Source organism: Homo sapiens, chromosome 3, assembly GCF_000001405.40.
Source record: "Homo sapiens chromosome 3, GRCh38.p14 Primary Assembly".
In the NCBI taxonomy this organism is placed as follows: Eukaryota; Metazoa; Chordata; class Mammalia; order Primates; family Hominidae; genus Homo; species Homo sapiens.
In genome coordinates, this window is record NC_000003.12 from 156,028,246 (window position 1) to 156,047,723 (window position 19,478).

General features: G+C 42.8%; 2 pseudogenes; one reads left to right on the forward strand and one right to left on the reverse strand.

The window, feature by feature from the left end:
- Positions 5,337–9,402, forward strand: VN2R1P (vomeronasal 2 receptor 1 pseudogene; annotated as a pseudogene).
- ALG1L15P (ALG1 like 15, pseudogene) lies at positions 15,884–16,705 on the reverse strand (annotated as a pseudogene).

Here is a 19,478-nt window from a genome sequence, read left to right on the forward strand (position 1 = left end):
TCAAGTTAAGTCTTGGGATCTACATACTCATAAGTTTTTCTCCTGGCAGAGAAAAACAAGGAAAGAAAAGTGGTGATAGGAGGGAGGGAAGGGAGGTGGAAGACGAGGGGTGGGGGGAGAGAGAGAGAGAGAGAGAGATAAGAATTGGGCTTGCCAAATGGATTGTGGGTCTACTCACTCCATCATCCATGTGGATGAGAAGTAAAATCTAAGGAAGAGCCTGGATGGCTTGATTCACTCCCCTTGTCTGTGGGGTGCATAGAGAAAAAAGCAAATGGCCTCCTTTTCACTGCTGTGATCCCACTTGTGAAAAGTAGGGCATTGAATGTTGTATTAATAATCAGCTCCTCCGATTTCCTTGGGGTATGAGGAAGTGGATTTGAAAGAGTCCATAGGGAGGCCCAAAGTGTTCCCTCCAACACTCTACCCTCCCATCCACTGAGCAAGGAAAGGACCAGAAATCCTTTTGTCTAAAGAAAGATGTGAAAATAAAGGGAGAAGAACTGTTAAGTTCCCTCCCTCCCCAATAAAAATATTCTGAAAATGTGTAATTTGAGATTTGGCTATTGCTTTCTAATAGCTGCATGAATATTTTCAATAGTAGGTGGGCTATACCTCTACCTGCGTGATTCTTAGTGACAAATACCAGTTTCCATCTTATCTTCGTGTAATAGCCAGCGATAAGATCCAGTCGAAGGCTGTGGTAAAACGTATCCAACACTTTCACTTTCTCACTCTGTCGCCCAGGCTGGAGTGCAGTGGCGCCATCCTGGCTCATGGCAACCTCTGCCTCCCAGGTTCAAACAATCCTCCTACCTCAGCCTCCTGAGTAGCTGGGATTACAGGTGTGTGCCACCATGCCAGACTAATTTTTGTATTTTTAGTAGAGACAGGGTTTTGCCATGTTGCCCAGGCTGGTCTCGAATTCCTGGCCTCAAATTATCTGACTGCTTCGGCCTCCCAAAGTGCTGGGATTACAGGTGTGAGCCACTGTGCCTGGCCCAGTACTATAGAGCTTTGGATAATCCAGTTCCATATTTACTTCCGGATGAACTGTAGAGTTACAGTAAATCGATAGGGTAGTGAAAAAGAATTGGCAATTTCATCTTCCATGTGACTCTCAGAATGGAAGAACCAGGAAAAGTGAGAGAGATGAAAGTGACGTCAGCATAGCCAGAGAATGCTTTTTGTTTGCTGACACAGGACTTTCTTTTGGAGGAAAGGGTGTCTTTTTTCATCCTGTTTATTTTTCACGTATCTTCCCTCTTGAGCTCAGATCTGAGATCCCCAAACAGTCTTCCAAATCATGCTGGGAAAGCATCTAAAAATAAGTGAAAAAAAGCCTCAAGATTTCTGAGTTCCTATGCTGTACCAGACACCTATGAGATCTTTGTCTGTCAGACTATTCCTCTCTGCTTTCTATGTGTAGCAATAAACATCTATAGACTTATACATGCTCACAAAAGAATATAGATATGCACACATACACAGTAGTTTATTGGTCTATCTTTAAGCAGCATTTGAATATATTTTGGGTAGATGTAAAAATAGCCACTTGTCAGTGTTTACCACTGTAGGGGCCAGAGCTCTCTGCAGCATTTTATGCCTTTGATCTAGAACCTGCTCTGCCCAATACAGTAGTGCTTAACCACAGATAGGTTGTTTTTTGTTTGTTTGTTTTTGTTTTTTTTAGACGGAGTCTCGCTCTGTTGCCATGCTGGAGTATAGTGGTGAGATCTCGGCTCACTGCCACCTCTGCCTCCTGGGTTCAAGCAATTCTCCTGCCTCAGCCCCCCTAGTAGCTGGGACTACAGGCGCACACCACCACGCTCAGCTAATTTTTGTATTTTTAGTAGAGACGGGTTTTCACCATGTTAGCCAGGATGGTCTTGATCTCTCAATCTCGTGATCCACCCGCCTCGGCCTCCCAAAGTGCTGGGATTACAGGTGTGAACCACCACGCCCGGCCACAGACAGCTTTAAAATGCAAATTAATTAAAATAAAATAAAAGGAAAATTCAGCTCTTAGTCACATTAACTACATTTCAAGTGTTCAATATCCACATGTAGCTAGGAGCTACCATATAGAACAACAGAGATATGTAACACTTCTGTCATTGCAGAAAGGACAGAGCTGCCCTAAGTCTAGGCTATAAGCCATCTTATGTGGCCCAGAGCTCTCTCAGAATGGTGAGCTACTTGATGAATGGGCTTGAGACTTCACTTTTGTATTCTTTTTGGTAGGTATATAGTAGGTCCCCAATATACCGTTTTACATGAAAAGGAAGATGTTATTCTTTGCATATACATGGTTCAAAGAATGCTTGCTCTACTGAAAATTGACAGAAAAATAGTAAAATCTAATAGTAGATTTTTCTTTTAATAATCTTCATTAGGGTATAGTAATTTATTTTTCTTATCTTTTACTATAAAATTGGGATTGTTTGTATAATGAAATTGCTTCAAATGTAATTCAATACAAATTTACTAAGCATCTACTATAAATCCAACTCTGGGTTAAACATTGCAAAAATAAGGCCACTGCCCCTAATTAACTGAGCAAATATTTGTTGAGAACAGTAGCATATGTGCATAGGAACTGCGGATACGTCAGTGTGCAAAACAGAACAAATCCCAGCCTAATGGGATTAACATTTCAATGGAAGGAAGTAGGCAACAAACAAGACAAATAGAGACATTATACTGTATCTTAAAGGATGTTAATGTCAGGGAGAAACAAATAGCAGGACTGAGATAGGGAGTGCTGTGGGAGTGTTGCACTGAAATTCCATATAGCGTAGTCAGGGAAGGCCTCGCTAGAGTGACATTTGAACAGAAATTCAAATGAAAGTGTGTTCATGCATTATCTAGGGGAAGAATATTTCCAGCACAGGGAACAGCACCTTCTAAACCCTGAGGCGCGTGTGGCTGGCACTTTGGAGGAACAGAAAAGAAGTCAATGTGGCTGGAAAGAGTGAAAGAGAGGGAGAGCAGGAAAGGAGGTGAGAGAGGTTAGAGAGGGACAGATCATGCAGGGCCCTGTTGGCTTTTGAAGGACTTTGGTTTTCACACTGAGTGAGAAGGGAAACCCTGAAAATCTTGACAGAGGAGGGCCATGATCTGACTCAGGTATCATTGTTTGCCATACTGCAAATCAGTGGAAGGAGTGGGGTGGAGGGGCAAGAACAGAACCAAGGAGACTGTTAAAAGACCATAAAATCATCCAAAATAATGAAGGTAGCTTGGCCCAGGATAGATGTGATGGAGGTGGCAAAAAGTCATTAGATTCTGGATATCTTATGGATATCTTATAGGTAGAAGACATCAAATCTGCTGACGGATTGGACCTGGAAGTGTTACATGAAACAATTAGAGGACAATACAAATAATGATTTAAGTCATAATGGTAAACTGAGTCTGGTGGTTGGTGAGAAGGTGGACTTGAGTGGAAGAGAGGGTCCATACAGGCAAGTAATATCAGGTTGGAGATGATGGATAGGAATGGTGGTGTTGATGACAGAAATGAGGAATAGGGTTTATGGGATAGTTTTGTACGTGTTGAACTTGAGGTGATGGTGGAATCTTAATGTAGGAACATATGGGAAGTTTAGAATATGGAATTAAATAGAGATCAGGTGGGAAAGGTTGGTGTTAGAGATCAAAATTTGGGAGTACTTCTATAGAGATACTGGTTGAAGACAAGAGAATGAAGGACCTGCTTTACAGTAAGAGAGAAAACCAGAGGACCAAGGACCAAACCCAGGACCCAAGGGAAGCCAAGGTAGCTTGCGTTTCAAAGAGGGGCTGATCAAAAGTGTCAAGTATTGAAGAAAGCTGAAGGAAAATGTGGCCAGAGGAAAATCTCTCAGACATGGCAAGAAGAGTTTTAGTGAGGTGAGTGAGTTGGCAGCTAGATCACAGAGGTTGAGAAGGGAAGGAATACTGAGAAATGGAACAAAAAGGTATCAGCTCATTGTTAATGATACTAATGGGCCAGGTGCCGTGGCTCGCGCCTGTAATCCCAGCACTTTGGGAGGCCGAGGCAGGTGGATCACAAGGTCAGAAATTCGAGACCATCTTGGCTAACACGGTGAAACCCCGTTTCTACTAAAAATACAAAAAATTAGCTGGGTGTGGTGGTGGGCACCTGTAGTCCCAGCTACTCGGGAGGCTGAGGCAGGAGAATGGCATGAACCCGGGAGGCGGAGCTTGCAGTGAGCCGAGATGGTGCCACTGCACTCCAGCCTGGGCAACAGAGGAAAAAAAAATGATAATAGTAATCATAAGGTAATATCGAGAGTTCTTTCCAGAAGACTGGATCAGAGCAAGGAATTCTAGTTCATTCTGTGATGATTTTATTGTTCATCTTTCAGAATTTGAGAATGCCTTGCTATCACTCCTTCCTGTAATAGCTACTCCTTAAGGTGCATTTAAAATATGATTTTACAGATACATATGTATAAAACATATAAGAAGCTTATCTATTGTGTATACATACTTCTGTAATGTTATGTACCATAACCTAGCTCAGAGATTGGTAATATTTTCTATGTTATTTAATTCAGATTTACTCTGGAAAACTCAACATATGAAAATTCTGATTTCTAAAATAAATATAAGTGTAATCATGCATCTTCCAAAATGATTCTTTGCTTAATGGAAAAGCATTTTGTTTCTTAAACAGGAAACTCCCTAATGGATTAAGAAACAAACTATTTACAAACCTTGCATTTATTCTGGGTTTCAAGGTACACATCCATGTAGAATGTAAAAGGAGGCCTGTGTTTACTACTGAGATTTTGAAATTCGTTTAGCAAGAAAATATTTCAATGCTATGCCTTGTCTGCTTTTCCTTTTGCCCTCCCCATTTTTCTGATAAATCAGATCTTTCACTGTTCTTTTCTACTGACCCTTCATGACACAGCTTTGATTTTAAGACTACTTTGGGATGACCTTGCAGAGGGAAAATATTTTTTAGGCTTTCAAGATGATTCTTGGAATCATAGGTCCTTCACAAGCAGGAACAGACCTGTCAAATGATCTCATCCCCAGAGTCCTGTAGGCATGGAGCCTGGTCTGGATCCCCAAGGTTAGAAAGAAGAGGCTTAGAATTAGCTTTGCATTTCTAGACTTAACACCGAGACTCTCCTTTAGCAAAATTCTTCTCTACGTTCTCCATGTTGTTATTTTCTTTGTTCATTATCTTCACTCAGGCATCCTGGGTTTCCCAGGAAATCGCAAAGCTTCCATGGAAATTCAAATGGAAACTTTCTCAGCCTCATGAGTACTAGAGACAAAGGGCTTTGTTAATACATCATGTTTGTCTTTGCTAGCTTCCCCATTCAGTGTGTACTGATGTGTGTCCTCCTGGGACTCGGAAGGGGATTCGTTCAGAGGGAACCAATATGCTGCTTTGACTCCATCCCATGTGCTGATGGACACGTGTCACGGAAACCAGGTTGAGATGGTAATTTCTTCATTGATATGAGGATGCTATTAGATCAAACATGTTTTTGCAAAGAAGGCCTAAGGAGCCTTCTTTATAAATAGGTATGAATAACTTATAACAAAAATAATTAAAATCCATCAAATTATTGGATGTTTTGTGCACTGTGAAAAAAACATAGTATTGTGTTTCAGTTCTAAAGCTGCTACAGTTGGGAAAATACCTACAACCTTGAAGTTAATAGAGGAAAATGCAAAATAAAATATATGAAATGTGAAATATGAGTAGGATTCATAAAAAATATTTAAAATTATTTGTTTCTGAAATAAATTAAATGCTAGTTATATTCATAATTGGAAGACAGGGGACTTATAGTACTATGTTTTATTGAATTAGCTCTAATTTGGAGTTATAAGATCTAAAATTTCATCTCTAAAGGCAATTGGCTTAAGGTCATAAGTACTCAAAGTTTGTAAGACATATGATTTCTGTAACTACTGCTCTATGAATTCTTCACTATGGCCTGCCAAATTGCTGCTCTTTATGACCAGAATTTTAATTGGGTTTAGTGTGCTCGGTCTTGTGAAACATGTTGGAGCAGGTTTATTTTTATCTCTACCTTCTGTTAAAGATAACACAAAGTGTACTTGTCTTTTGTCAAATGGCCCTCAATAGCAATTCTTTTCTTTTTTTTTTTTTTTTTGAGACGGAGTCTCGCTCTGTCGCCCAGGCGGGACTGCGGACTGCAGTGGCGCAATCTCGGCTCACTGCAAGCTCCGCTTCCCGGGTTCACGCCATTCTCCTGCCTCAGCCTCCCGAGTAGCTGGGACTACAGGCGCCCGCCACCGCGCCCGGCTAATTTTTTTTGTATTTTTAGTAGAGACGGGGTTTCACCTTGTTAGCCAGGATGGTCTCGATCTCCTGACCTCATGATCCACCCGCCTCGGCCTCCCAAAGCAATTCTTTATAAAAGAATTTTGAGGGCCAGGCGCAGTGGCTCACGCCTGTAATCCCAGCACTTTAGGAGGCCGAGGAGGGCGGACACGAGGTCAGGAGATTGAGACCATCCTGGCTAACACGGTGAAACCCCGTTCTCTACTAAAAAAATACAAAAAATTACCGGGCGCGGTGGCAGGCGCCTGTGTCCCAGCTACTCGGGAGGCTGAGGCAGAAGAATGGTGTGAACTCGAGAGGCGGAGCTTGCATTGAGCTGAGATGGCGCCACTGCACTCCAGCTTGAGCGACAGAGCGAGACTCCGTCTCGGGAAAAAAAAAAAAAAATTGAGAATGTATCATTTTCCCAAAATGGAAAACAAGAACTATGTAACCTGAACAACTCCTTGGACCCTACACAGCCCAGTCTCTGCATAGAGTTACATCCAGGGAAGTCCAGTACAGCAGTTAAAAGTGATTAAACAGGAATTGCAATCTTTCCTGCATCTTTCAAAGAACATTAAAGAGATCAATTTCACAGTCTACTATAAACTCATATCAAATAGCCTTTTCTTATGTTCTGACATTCTCCCTTAGAGCCTCCACCCAGCTAAATGCTCTAAACCTTCTCAGTAAGCACCATGTAGGTTCTTTTCCTTCTCCTTCCCCTTACCCATCTTCTTCTCTTTCTCCTTTTGTCTTTCTCCTCCTCCTCCTTCTCCCCCTCCTCCTCTTCTTCCCTTCCTCCTTTTTCCTCCTCCTCTCCCTCCTCCCCTTCCTCCTCCCTCCTCCTCCTCCTTCTTCTTCTTCTTCTTCTTCCTCTCCTTCTTGTCTTCCTCCTCCTCCTTCTTCTTCCTTCTTCTCTTTCTTCTTCTCCTCCTGCTCTTTCTTCTTCTTCCTCGTTCTCCTCCTCCTTCCTCTTCCTCCCCCTCCTTCTTCTTCTCTTTCTTCCTCCTTCCTCCTCCTCCTCCCCCCTCCTGCTTCCTCCTCCTCCTCCTTCTTCTTATTCTTCCTTCTTCTCTTTCTTCTTCTCCTCCTCCTTCTTCTGCTTCTTCCTTGTTTTCTTCTTCTTCCTCCTCCTCTTTCTCCCCCTCCTCCTCCACTGATGCCCCTTCCCTTCCCTTCCCTTCCCTTCCCTTCCCTTCCCTCCCCTCCCCTCCCCTCCCCTCCCCTTCCCTTCCCTCTGAGTCGGAGTCTTGCACTGTCGCCCAGGCTGGAGTGCAGTGGCACCATCTTGGCTCACTGCAAACTCAGCCTCCTGGGCTCAAGTAATCCTCCCACCTCAGCCTCCCAAGTAACTGGGACTACAGGCACACACTATCACTCCCGGCTGATTTTTTGTATTATTTGGCAGAGACAAGGTTTTGCCATGTTGCCCAGGCTGGTCTCGAACTCCTGGGCTCAAGTGATCCACCCACCTCAGCCTCCCAAAGTGCTGGGATTACAGGCCTGGGCCACTGTACCCAGCCTTGTTTTCCTTCTTATCCTCAGTTACTCTCTACCTATTCCTTCAAATCTGCATCTGGGGGGTGAAGAAGGGAAAAGCTCTGAGTAAGCAAAGACAAAATTCTCTTTCATAAGGGTGATATTGAATGAAAGACAGAAAACATTTGTATTTTAATCAACCTTATTCCTGTTACAATTCTCTCAATTGTTTTGCCTCAGTAGCTTTAATTTTTTTTTTTTTTACTTTTTTTTTCATTTGTGGATTGTTTTTGGGTTTACGAGGATACATACCACTCTTCTCAATTAGCTAACTGGAGTAGTAAGAAAGAAGCTTGTTACTGGAAAAGGCCAATGCAGAAAAGCCTGAAACTGAGAAGCGAGACTGACTTTCCAAAACTGAAAATAATTCTCAATCTGTAACATTATCTGTACACTCTAAGGTCATTTTATCACTATTTCTTTTGAGATATTATATATTCTATACAAAGGGATTTTCAACAAGTCCCCACTCTAGAACTATGAGGGCTCTGGGATATTCACAGTGGAAGGGGACAATTGGATTTCTTTACAGTCAATTCTCTGTTCTTCGTTCAATAGGTGAAAGGGAGTGTGAACAATGTGGTGAAGACTATTGGTCAAATGCACAAAAGAGCGAGTGTGTGCTGAAAGAGGTGGAATACCTTGCTTATGATGAGGCCCTGGGATTCACACTTGTCATTCTTTCTGTCTTTGGGGCATTTGTGGTCTTGGCAGTCACAGCTGTGTATGTGATACACAGGCACACTCCCCTGGTGAACGCCAGTGACTGGCAGCTGGGCTTTCTCATTCAGGTTTCTCTGATCATCATGCTGCTGTCGTCCATGCTTTTCATTGACAAGCCACACAACTGGTCCTGCATGGCTGGCCAGGTCACTCTGGCACTGGGCTTTTCTCTTTGCCTGTCTTGCCTTCTTGGAAAGACTAGTTCACTGTTTTTAGCCTACAGAATTTCCAAATCCAAAACTCAACTTACATCCATGCACCCCCTTTATCGGAAAATCATTGTGCTAATCTCTGTTCTAGCGGAGATTGGCATATGTACAGCCTACTTGATATTGGAACCTCCCATGGTATACAAGAACATGGAATCTCAAAATACAAAGATCATTCTGGGATGCAATGAAATTTCCATAGAGTTTTTGTACTCGATGTTTGGAATTGATGCCTTCTTAGCCTTGCTATGCTTTCTTACAACTTTTGTGGCTCGCCAGTTACCAGATAATTACTATGAAGGAAAATGCATCACCTTTGGGATGCTTGTCTTTTTCATCATTTGGATGTCTTTTGTCCCTGTTTATTTGAGCACCAAAGGCAAGTTCAAAATGGCTGTGGAAATATTTGCAATCTTGGCATCCAGCCATGGCTTGTTGGGTTGTATATTTGCTCCTAAGTGCCTCATTATTTTGCTGAGGCCAGAGAGGAACACCAGTGAAATTGTTTGTGGAAGAGTCTCCACCACAGATAATTGCATCCAACTGACCTCAGCTTTTGTGAGCAGTGAGCTTAACAATACCACAGTGTCAACTGTTCTGGATGACAGAGTTTTGATTTACATGTGTCCTTTGAAGCTGCAATGATGATGTGGTTCAACATTCCCTTTCAGGATGCTCCTACAGCAGCTGCCTAATACTCTCAGGTAACATTGAGGATTTGGGTTCTGGTGGTGTAGTCTTAGCATGGTATATCAAATCTTGTACTGTAAGATAGCATTTAGCATGAATCAGAATACCTTTTACTATTGAAATTAAAAACTATTTTATTCAAGCATTTCAAAATACTTTGGTGTAAGGACTGTGTAGTAGAGGATATGGTAGGAGCCAGTTATCTAAAATGATAGATAAGGCTGGGTGTGGTGGCTCACGCCTGTAATCCCACCACTTTGGGACACCAAGGTGGATGAATCACTTGAGGTCAGGAGTTCAAGGCCAGCCTGGGCAACATGGTGAAACCCTGTCTCTACTAAAAATACAAAAATTAGCAAGGAGTGGCAGTGCATCCCTGTAGTCCCAGATACTTAGGAGGCTGAGGTGAGAGGATCACTTAAACCTGGGAGGTGGAAGTTGCAGTGAGCCGAGATCGCACCACTGCACTCCAGCCTGGGTGACAGAGAGAGACACCATCTCAATTAAAAAAAAAAAAGACAAAAAATTTAGCTCGTGAATGTTCTCGTTCTTATATCATGGATGTCTGATCTAGAAATTTACCTAAAACAAAATCACTTAGTGGGGACCAAGAGAGACATTTTGTTCTACATTCTGTTAATGTATCTCTGAAATACACAGCTTTTCTCTGATTGAGGTAAGAATTATAGCCCATGGAGCAGGGGGTTTGGAAGATAATTCATGTTTCAAAGGACTCTGTGACATACAGAGAATATTGAAGGAATTGTGATGTCAACAAAACTCAGTTTTTTTCTTGAACACATATGGAAGTAAAGTTTCTCCCAGAGAGAAGGCAAGTCTACAAATCTATCTGCTACAGATTTTCCTGGGGGAGAATATGTGGTAAAGTACCTGAGTTTTAAAACATCCTTCTGCTTGAAAAAGAAAAACAAAGGGAATTAAGAGTTGGCAAAGCAATTATTAAGTAGATTATACAGCGAAGACATGAATAGCAAAAAAACAGATGTTTACCTAGAGCAGTATTACAATGCAAGATTCTTTTAGGATAAATTGAGTGATAGATACTTGCCCTCTGATTATGTAGAGTTACCTGGAATTTAATTTCCATGTGAAAATGTTATAAAATATTTTCAGTCTTTTTCTAGATATGAAACTTTGAAAATGACCTATATACATTTATGTGTATATGAACATGTGTGGAAAAATAAAATTTATAGAAATGCCGATAAATAAAAAATGCATGTGTATATTTAACTCTAGAAGTCTGACAGGATCAGAAAGAACTCTCTCTTCAAGATAACTTGATGCTTGTGAATTTCAGTTAAGAAAGCTGGGCAGAGATTCCTGGAGGCTCATGGGAGCAGAAAGTGAAAGTGTGATGACTAGTTTAGCAGGACAAGTCTGTTGGGAACTTATTTACTGATTTTTTTTAAAAGAATGATCATTCTAGACCAGGCAAAGGGAATGAGCTTCCTATAATTTAAATAGTGAGTTTACCTCAAGGTTCAGCAAAGCTTAAAATGATCCCTTTATTGAAGAGCCAGTGGTAGTCCCAGGAATTTCTGGGCAAGCATCTATTCACACATCCATCTCCCAGCACTTCTACAGCCCTTAGAATTGTTAGAGGAGAGCCTATATCACAGCATGAAGAATGGGGAAACTGCTTTCTTTGGCCCTTCATTTGATCCAAGGAGGAACACTGGAAAAGAAAGAATGCTTTGTCAAAGTATGGAGCAATAGGAAAATGAGAATCCGTGAGTTAATATCTTATTCAGGTATACATTCAGCTTGAGTATTCTCAATGATTTACCTTGAGATTATTAACAAAAGCTAAAAGATGGCTCATGTCTAGTGACTTTGTTTACTTTTATCTTCAAAATATTTTAATATCAGGGTAATCCTCTTCTTTTTTGAGTTGTTGATTATTGAACATATAGTCTCTAAAAAGATAATTCCAGAAGTCCATTTGGGTAATATCAAAGACTCCATTATCTCCTTTCATTTAGCATGGCTTAGTAATACTGTCTTGTCAGACTTGTGTTCTTTGGATTTTTTTTTTTTTTTGATCAGCAATAGGTTTGGGAAATTAGAGAAAATAAATGTCATTGAAAACAAAATATCAACTGAACTTGCATGTTTAACGTTAATATTTACTTATACAACTTTACAATTTTAAGATACAATTTTCATCAAAATAGCTTGAAGTTATCACTTGTTGATTTGGTACTCATGTATTGTTACAGAAACTGGCTTATGGCAGTTAAAATGAATAATATATGATTGTCAAAGGATGATGGTCTAATTTGTAGTATTGTTTTATTCTTTGTACTTAATTACTTATTAAAATATTTCCCATAAATGGAAAAATATTTTCTCTTTGGATGAATGCATCATGTAAAAGTCATTTCTAGTGAACAAACAATGACTCTCTATTGGCACATGTTGCTTTGTAAGAGAATCTCATTTAGAAGTTGCTAGTGACACTCCCTGCTGTGGATGAGCACTTGCTGGTAACTACATACTGGGCCTTGGGGAGCAGCTCAGAATTAGTTTCAGGTGTTGCATCAAAATTATGTAGTTGCTGGCTTGGGGAGTAGTATAAAGATTAACTGCTTGAAAAAAAAAAGGATACTTTATTCAGGGCTGACATACACACATGCAGGATTGAGCTCTTTTGGTAAACGAGATGTTTACCAGGGCTGCTCAAACCCACCCCATGAGATTAATTCTTTGCATTAAGGCAAAGATATTTCCTGATAGAAAGTGAATATACTTTCAAAAAGGATAAGATATTCCCACTGCCAGGTTAATATCCTTAAAACTCTGCTCTGATCTCATCTCTTCCCTGCTCATCAAATCCCAGTGGTTTTCCACTATCTACAGCATGAGTTTAGCTGTCATAGTCTGACATTCAAAACTCTCAAAACACTTTTCCATTTTCTATGTTCAACAGTTGTCACCTGCCACCTTCCTGCCCATATCCTTTTAACACAATTCAACAGCACTCCTGCAATTTCTGAAACTCACCTCTTATTTTTTAGATTTCACACTAGTCACATCGTTCCCTTTATCCTCGAATGCTCTAATAGCACTTCATCCCTTCCTGCCTCTCTCCCTCCCTCATTCCTTTCCCTCTCTGCTTTCTCCCTTCCCTCCTTAAGGGCTTGATGTACACCAGACTCAAAGTTAGACATAGAAGATACACAAAGATGAGACATTGTTCCCCATCTCCAGGTGCTTGCCATCTTTTGGGGTGATAGGCAATAAACCAATTACACTATGATGTGATAAAGCTGTGATTGTGGCAGCATAGAGGAAAGGCAGGGCGAGTTAAGATCAAGGAAGGCTTCCTGGGTGAGGTGTCACTTGAACAAATTCCAGAAGGACAAGAAAGAACTAGCCATATTGAGAGGTGACAGCATGCTGGCAGCCCTGCAGCCCTCGCTCGCTCTCGGTGCCTCCTCGGCCTTGGCGCCCACTCTGGCCGTGCTTGAGGAGCCCTTCAGCCCACCGCTGCACTGTGGGAGTCCCTTTCTGGGCTGGCCAAGGCCGGAGCCTGCTCCCACAGCTTGTGGGGAGGTGTGGAGGGAGAGGCGCGGGCGGGAACCGGGGCCGCGCGCGGAGCTTGTGGGCCAGCGCGAGTTCCGGGTGGGCGTGGGCTCGGCGGGCCCGGCACTCGGAGCGGCCAGCCGGCCTGCAAGCCCCGGGGCAGTGAGGGGCTTAGCACCTGGGCCAGCAGCTGCTGTGCTTGATTTCTCGCTGGGCCTTAGCTGCCTCCCTGCGGGGCAGGGCTGGGGACCTGCAGCCCACCATGCCTGAGCCTCCCCAACCCCACTGTGGGCTCCTGCGTGGCCCGAGCCTCCCCGACAAGTGCTGCCCCCTGCTCCACGGCGCCCAGTCCCATCGACCACCCAAGGGCTGAGGAGTGCCGGCGCACAGCAGGCAGCTCCACCTGCGGCCCCGGTGGGAGATCCACTGAGTGAAGCCAGCTGGGCGCCTGAGTCTGGTGGGGACTTGGAGAACCTTTATGTCTAGCTAAGGGATTGTAAATACAACAATCGGCACTCTGTGTCTAGCTCAAGGTTTGTGAATGCACCAATCAGCACCCTGTGTCTAGCTCAGGGTTTGTGAATGCACCAACTGACACTCTGTATCTAGCTACTCTGGTGGGGACTTGGAGAACCTTTGTGTCCACACTCTGTATCTAGCTAATCTATTGGGGATGTGGAGAACTTTTGTGTCTAGCTCAGGGATTGTAAGCGCACCAATCAGCACCCTGTCAAAACGGACCAATCAGCTCTGTGTGAAACAGACCAATCGGCTTTCTGTAAAATGGACCAATCAGCAGGATGTGGGTGGGGCCAGGTAAGAGAATAAAAGCAGGCTGCCTGAGCTAGCAGCGGCAATGTGTTGGGGTCGCTTTCTACACCGTGGACACTTTGCTCATTTGCTCTTTGCAATGAATCTTGCTACTGCTCACTCTTTGGGTCAACACTGCCTTTTTGAGCTATAACAGCGACTGCAAAGATCTGCAGCTTCACTCCTGAAGCTAGCGAGACCGCAAACCTACCGGGAGGAACGAACAACTCCAGACGTGCTGCCTTAAGAGCCCGTAACACTCACCGCTAAGGTCTGCAGCTTCACTCCTGAGCCAGCGAGACCACAAACCCACCAGAAGGAATAAACTCTGAACACATCCGAATGTCAGGAGAAACAAACTCCAGACACGCCGCCTTTAAGAACTGTAACACTCACTGCGAGGGTCCGCGGCTTCATTCTTGAAGTCAGTGAGACCAAGAACCCACCAATTCGGGACACAATATGAAAGGAAGACTAACGTTTGCACTCCACCTAACCTACTACTTGGAGCATGGTAAGTGTCAGCTTCCCATCCTCTTCTGTTTGTTTTGGGATTGTTTTTGTTTGTTTTTTGTTTCCCGCTTCCTTTTTTAAAAAATGAAGCATTGTAGGACTTTATCTGTGACTCTTTCATGTCACTGACCATTTTCTGCCGCATACTAGGCTTATTTACTTTCCTCTCCTGGGTCTACCTCTACATTATAAATTATTTCACGAAGGGAACTTGAAATCTATTTAGGTATGCATCTATCTGTCATCTATCCATCTTTCTTTGTGGCCTTTACATATAGAATATAACTTGCACTTAATTGGCACCTAATCTTTTTATATGAAATTTTTTTAAACTTTTAGGTTCAGGGGCATGCGTGCAGGTTTGTTACATAGGTAAACTCATGTTGCAGGGGCTTGTTGTACAGATTGTTTCATCACCCAGGTACTAAGCCTAGTACACAATAGTTACTTTTTCTGCTCTTCTCCCTCCTTTCACCCTCCACCTTCAAGGAGGCCCCAGTGTCTGTTGTTCCCTTATTTTTGTCCATGAGTTCTCATCATTTAGCTCCCACTTGTAAGTAAGAGCATGCAGTATTTGGTTTTCTGTTCCTGTGTTAATTTGCTAAGGTTAATGGTCTCCAACTCCATCCATGTTCCTGCAAAAGACATGATGTAGTCCTTTTTTATGGCCACGTAGTAGTCAGTGGTATATATGTACCACATTTTCTTTATCCAGTCTATCATTGATGGGCATTTAGGTTGATTCCATGTCTTTGCTGTTGTGAGTAGTGATGCAGTAAACATACGCATGCACGTGTCTTTGTTATGGAATGATTTATATTCCTGTGGGTATATACCCAGTAATGGGATTGCTGAGTTGAATGGTAGTCCTCTTTTTAGCTCTTCAAGGAATTGCTACACTGCTTTCTGCAATACTTAAACTAACTTATATTCCCACCAACAGTATATAAGTGTTTCCTTTTCTCTGCAACTTTGCCAGCATCTGTTATTTTATTTTATTAAATTTTAAGTTCAGGGGTACATGTGTAGGTTTGTTATATAGGTAAACTTGTGTCATGGGGGTTTGTTGCACAGATTATTTTGTCACCCAGGTATTAAGCCTAGTACCCATTAGTTATTTTTCCTGATCCTCTCACTCCTCCTACCCTTCACTCTCCAACAGGCCCTAGTGTGTGTTGTTCCGCTCTATATGTCCATGTATTCTCATCATTTATTCCCACTTATAAGCGAGAACATATATTACTTGGTTTTCTGTTCTTGTTTCAGTTTGCTGAGGATAATGGCCTCCAGCTCCATTCATGTTCCTGCAAAAGACATGATCTTGTTCTTTTTTAGGTCTGCATACTATTCCACAGTGTGTATGTACCACTTTTTTTTTTTTTTCTTTTCCCCGGGTCACAGAACCAATTCATTCACCCGGCGGCACCACTGCTGTCATTTCAGCTTCTGGCCACTGGGAGGCGCTGCTCGAAAGGGTTTGCCCTGAGACTCCGAGAAGAAGCTGCGGGAAGGACAGCAGGGGTCCTGGGGTTTTAGTCTCTGGCCCAGGATTTATGTGTCCATAACCAAAGGAAGCACAGTCTGCACCCAGCTCTCATCCCATCGGAGCTGCTGCGACTCCCGCAGGTTCTTCCGGAACTGGTTTAGCTTGCCCTCAGGATCAGGAAAGTTTGAGAAAAGCATCTGCAGCTGAGCTGCCAGTTCCTCTGAGTCCTCAAAGACCAAGCTGTTTTCTTCATGTTTCACCAGCTCATGTAAACACTTGAAGTTCACAGCACACACAGGCAAACAGCACCCGAACATGTCCACCACCTTCATGGGCAGGTCCAGGCCACTGGAGGACGTGTGCAGACAGACACCCAGGTCCACCGACCCTAGAAGCAGGGGGTAGTCCTCGGCCTCCAGCCAGGGGGTGCAGACCTGGATGTGCTGGAAATGCTTCTGGTGGATGAGGTGGCTGTAATACTCCCTCAGAGGCCATTTGCCTGTTATCACACAGACGAGAGAAGGAAGGTTGTGTTCGTCAAGAGTCAGTTGCTCAAACTTTTCTAAAGCTGCCAGCAGGATGGAGAAGTCTTCGTCCTCTCAAGTGTTCCATGGGTCGTGCAGACCTGTCCAGCCTGTGCTGCTGACCAGCAGGGCTGGCCGCTCATGGAGACGCATCACCAGCCCGCTCCCAGCATCCCGCTTCATGAAGGCCGACCGCTCCTGGCTGGGTCCTCAGGTTCTGAGCGGGCCCTGAACGGAGAGTGCGTGCTGCCCAGCTTCATGAAGAGTCGGTGCTGCAGGTCCAGAGGTGTCTCTTGAAAGAAAGATGCCGGCTTGTCATAGATGGTCACAGCCTCAGGATAGCTGGGTTCTTGGCCATTCTTGCAGTGGTTTTCAAGGGTGAAAAAAGGAGTTTCAGCAAGACAGCTAACGTCTGGAGGAGTGAGCCAGGAAGTGTCTGTAGGCTTCCTCTAGAGAGCACTCTGGGCTGGTGGGCGTGAGGACTCCAGTTTTCATGTGCGTCCGTGTGAAGAGACCACCAAACAGGCTTTGTGTGAGCAATAAAGCTGTTTCTTTCACATGGGTGCAGGCCGGCTGAGTCAGATTTAAAATTGGTGAGATGTTCCTTGGGCTGGTGGGTCTGAGGACCTGAGGTTGTAAGTGGATCATTTTCATGGAGCAAAGAACAGGAGGACATGGGATTGATCTCCCAAGGGAGGTCCCCTGATCCAAGTCATGGCACCAAATTTCATGCATGTCTGTGTGAAGAGACCACCAAACAGGCTTTGTATGAGCAACATGGCCGTTTATTTCACCTGGGTGCAGGCGGGCTGAGTCTGAAAAGAGAGTCAGCCTGTACCACTTTTTTTTAATCCAATCTATCATTGATGGACTTTTAGGTTAATTCCATGTCTTTGCTATTGTAAATAGTGTGTAATTAACACATGAATACATGTGTCTTTATAATAGAACAACTTATTTTCCTTTGGGTATATACCCAGTAATGGGATTGCTGGGTCAAATAGCATTTCTATTTTTAGGTCTTTGAGGATTTGCCACAGTGTCTTCCACAATGGCTGAACTAATTTACACTCCCACCAACAGTGTATAAACATTCCTTTTTCTCTAAACCTCTCCAGCATCTCTTATTTTTTGACTTTTAAATAGTAGCTATTCTGATTGGTGTGAGATGGTATCCCATTGTGGTTTTGACTTGCATTTTTCTAATCAGTGATGTTGAGTTTTCTTTCACGTTTGTTGGCTGCATGTAGCTTCTTTTGAAAAATGTCTGTTCATGTACTTTCCCCACTTTTTAATGGGGTTGTTTGTCTTTTTCTTGTAAATTTGTTTAAGTTCCTTATAGATGCTTAATAATAGACCTTTGTGAAATGCATAGTTTGCAAAAATGTTCTCACATTCTGTAGGTTGTCTGCTTACTCTGTTGACAGTTTCCTTTGCTGTGAAGAAGCTCTGTGGTTTAATTAGATCCCATTTGTCAATTTTTACTTTTGTTACAATTGCTTTAGGCATCTTCATAATGAAATCTTTGCCTATGCCTATGTCCTGAGTGGTATTGCCTAGATTGTCTTCTAGGGTTTTTACAGTTTTGGGTTTTACATTTAAGTCTTTAATCCATCTCGGGTTAATTTTTATTTATGGTATAAGGAAGGGATCCCGTTTCAATCTTATGCATATGGCTAGCCAGTTAATCCCAGCACCATTTATTGAATAGGGAATCCTTCCCCCATTGCTTGTTTTTGTCTGGTTTGTTGAAGATCAGATAGTTGTAGGTGTGCAGCCTTATTTCTGGGTTCTCTATTCTGTTCCATTGGTCTATGTATCTGTTTTTGTACCAATTCCATGCTATTTTGATTACTGTAGCCCTGTTGTGGCATAGTTTCAAGTCAGGTAGTGTGATGCCTCCACCTTTGTTCTTTTTGTTTAGGATTGCCTTGGTTATTTGGGCTCTTTTTTTGGTTCCATATGATTTTTTTTTTTTTTTTTTTTTTTTGAGACGGAGTCTCACTCTGTTGCCCTAGCTGGAGTGCAGTGGTGTGATCTCAGCTCACCGCCGTCTCAGCTCACTGCAACCTCCGCCTCTTGGGTTCAAGTGATTCTCCTGCCTCAGCCTCCCAAGTAGCTGGAATTACAGTCGCCCACTACCACACTCAGCTAATTTTTGTATTTTAGTAGAGACAGGGTTTCATCATGTTGGCCAAGCTGGTCTCTAACTTCTGACCTCAAGTGATCCTTCTGCCTCGGCCTCCCAAAGTGCTGTGATCACAGGCATGAGCCACCGTGCCCAGCCCCATATGAATTTTAAAAGTTTTTTCCAGTCCTGTGAAGAATCCCAGTGGTAGTTTAATAGAAATAGCAGTGAATCTATAAATTGCTTTGTGCAGTATGGCCATTTTTATATTGATTCTTTCTATTCATGAGTATGAAATGCTTTTCCATTTGTTTGTGTTAATCTCTAATTTATTTGAGAATGTTTTGGAGTTCTCCTTGTAGAGATCTTTTCCCGCCCTAGTTAGCTGTATTCCTAGGTATTTTATTCTTTTTGTGGCAGCTGTGAATGGGATTGTGTCCCTAATTTGGCTCCCGGCTTGACTGTTGTTGGTGTATAGGAATGCTAGTAATTTTTACACATTGATTTTGTATTCTGAGACTTCGCTGAAGTTGTCTATCAGCTTAAGAGGCTTTGGGTGAGACTACAGGGTTTTCTAGACATAGGATCATGTCATCTGCAAACAGGGATAGTTTGACTTCCTCTCTTCCTACCTGGATGCCTTTATTTTATTTTCTTCCCTGATTGCCCTGGACAGAACTTCCAATATTATGTTGAATAGGAGGACATCCTTACCTTGTGCGAGTTCTCAAGGGGAATGGTTCTAGCTTTTGCCCATTCAGTGTGATGTTGGCTGTGGGTTTGTCATAGATGGCTCTTATTATTTTGAGGTATGCTCCTTCAGTACTTATTTTACAGAGAGTTTTAAACATGAAGCCATGTTGAATTTTACCAAAAGCCTTTTTTTTGCATTTATTGGGATAATCATGTGGTTTTTGTCTTCAGTTCTGTTTATGTGATGAATCATATTTATTGATTTGTGTTTGTTGAACTAACCTTGCAT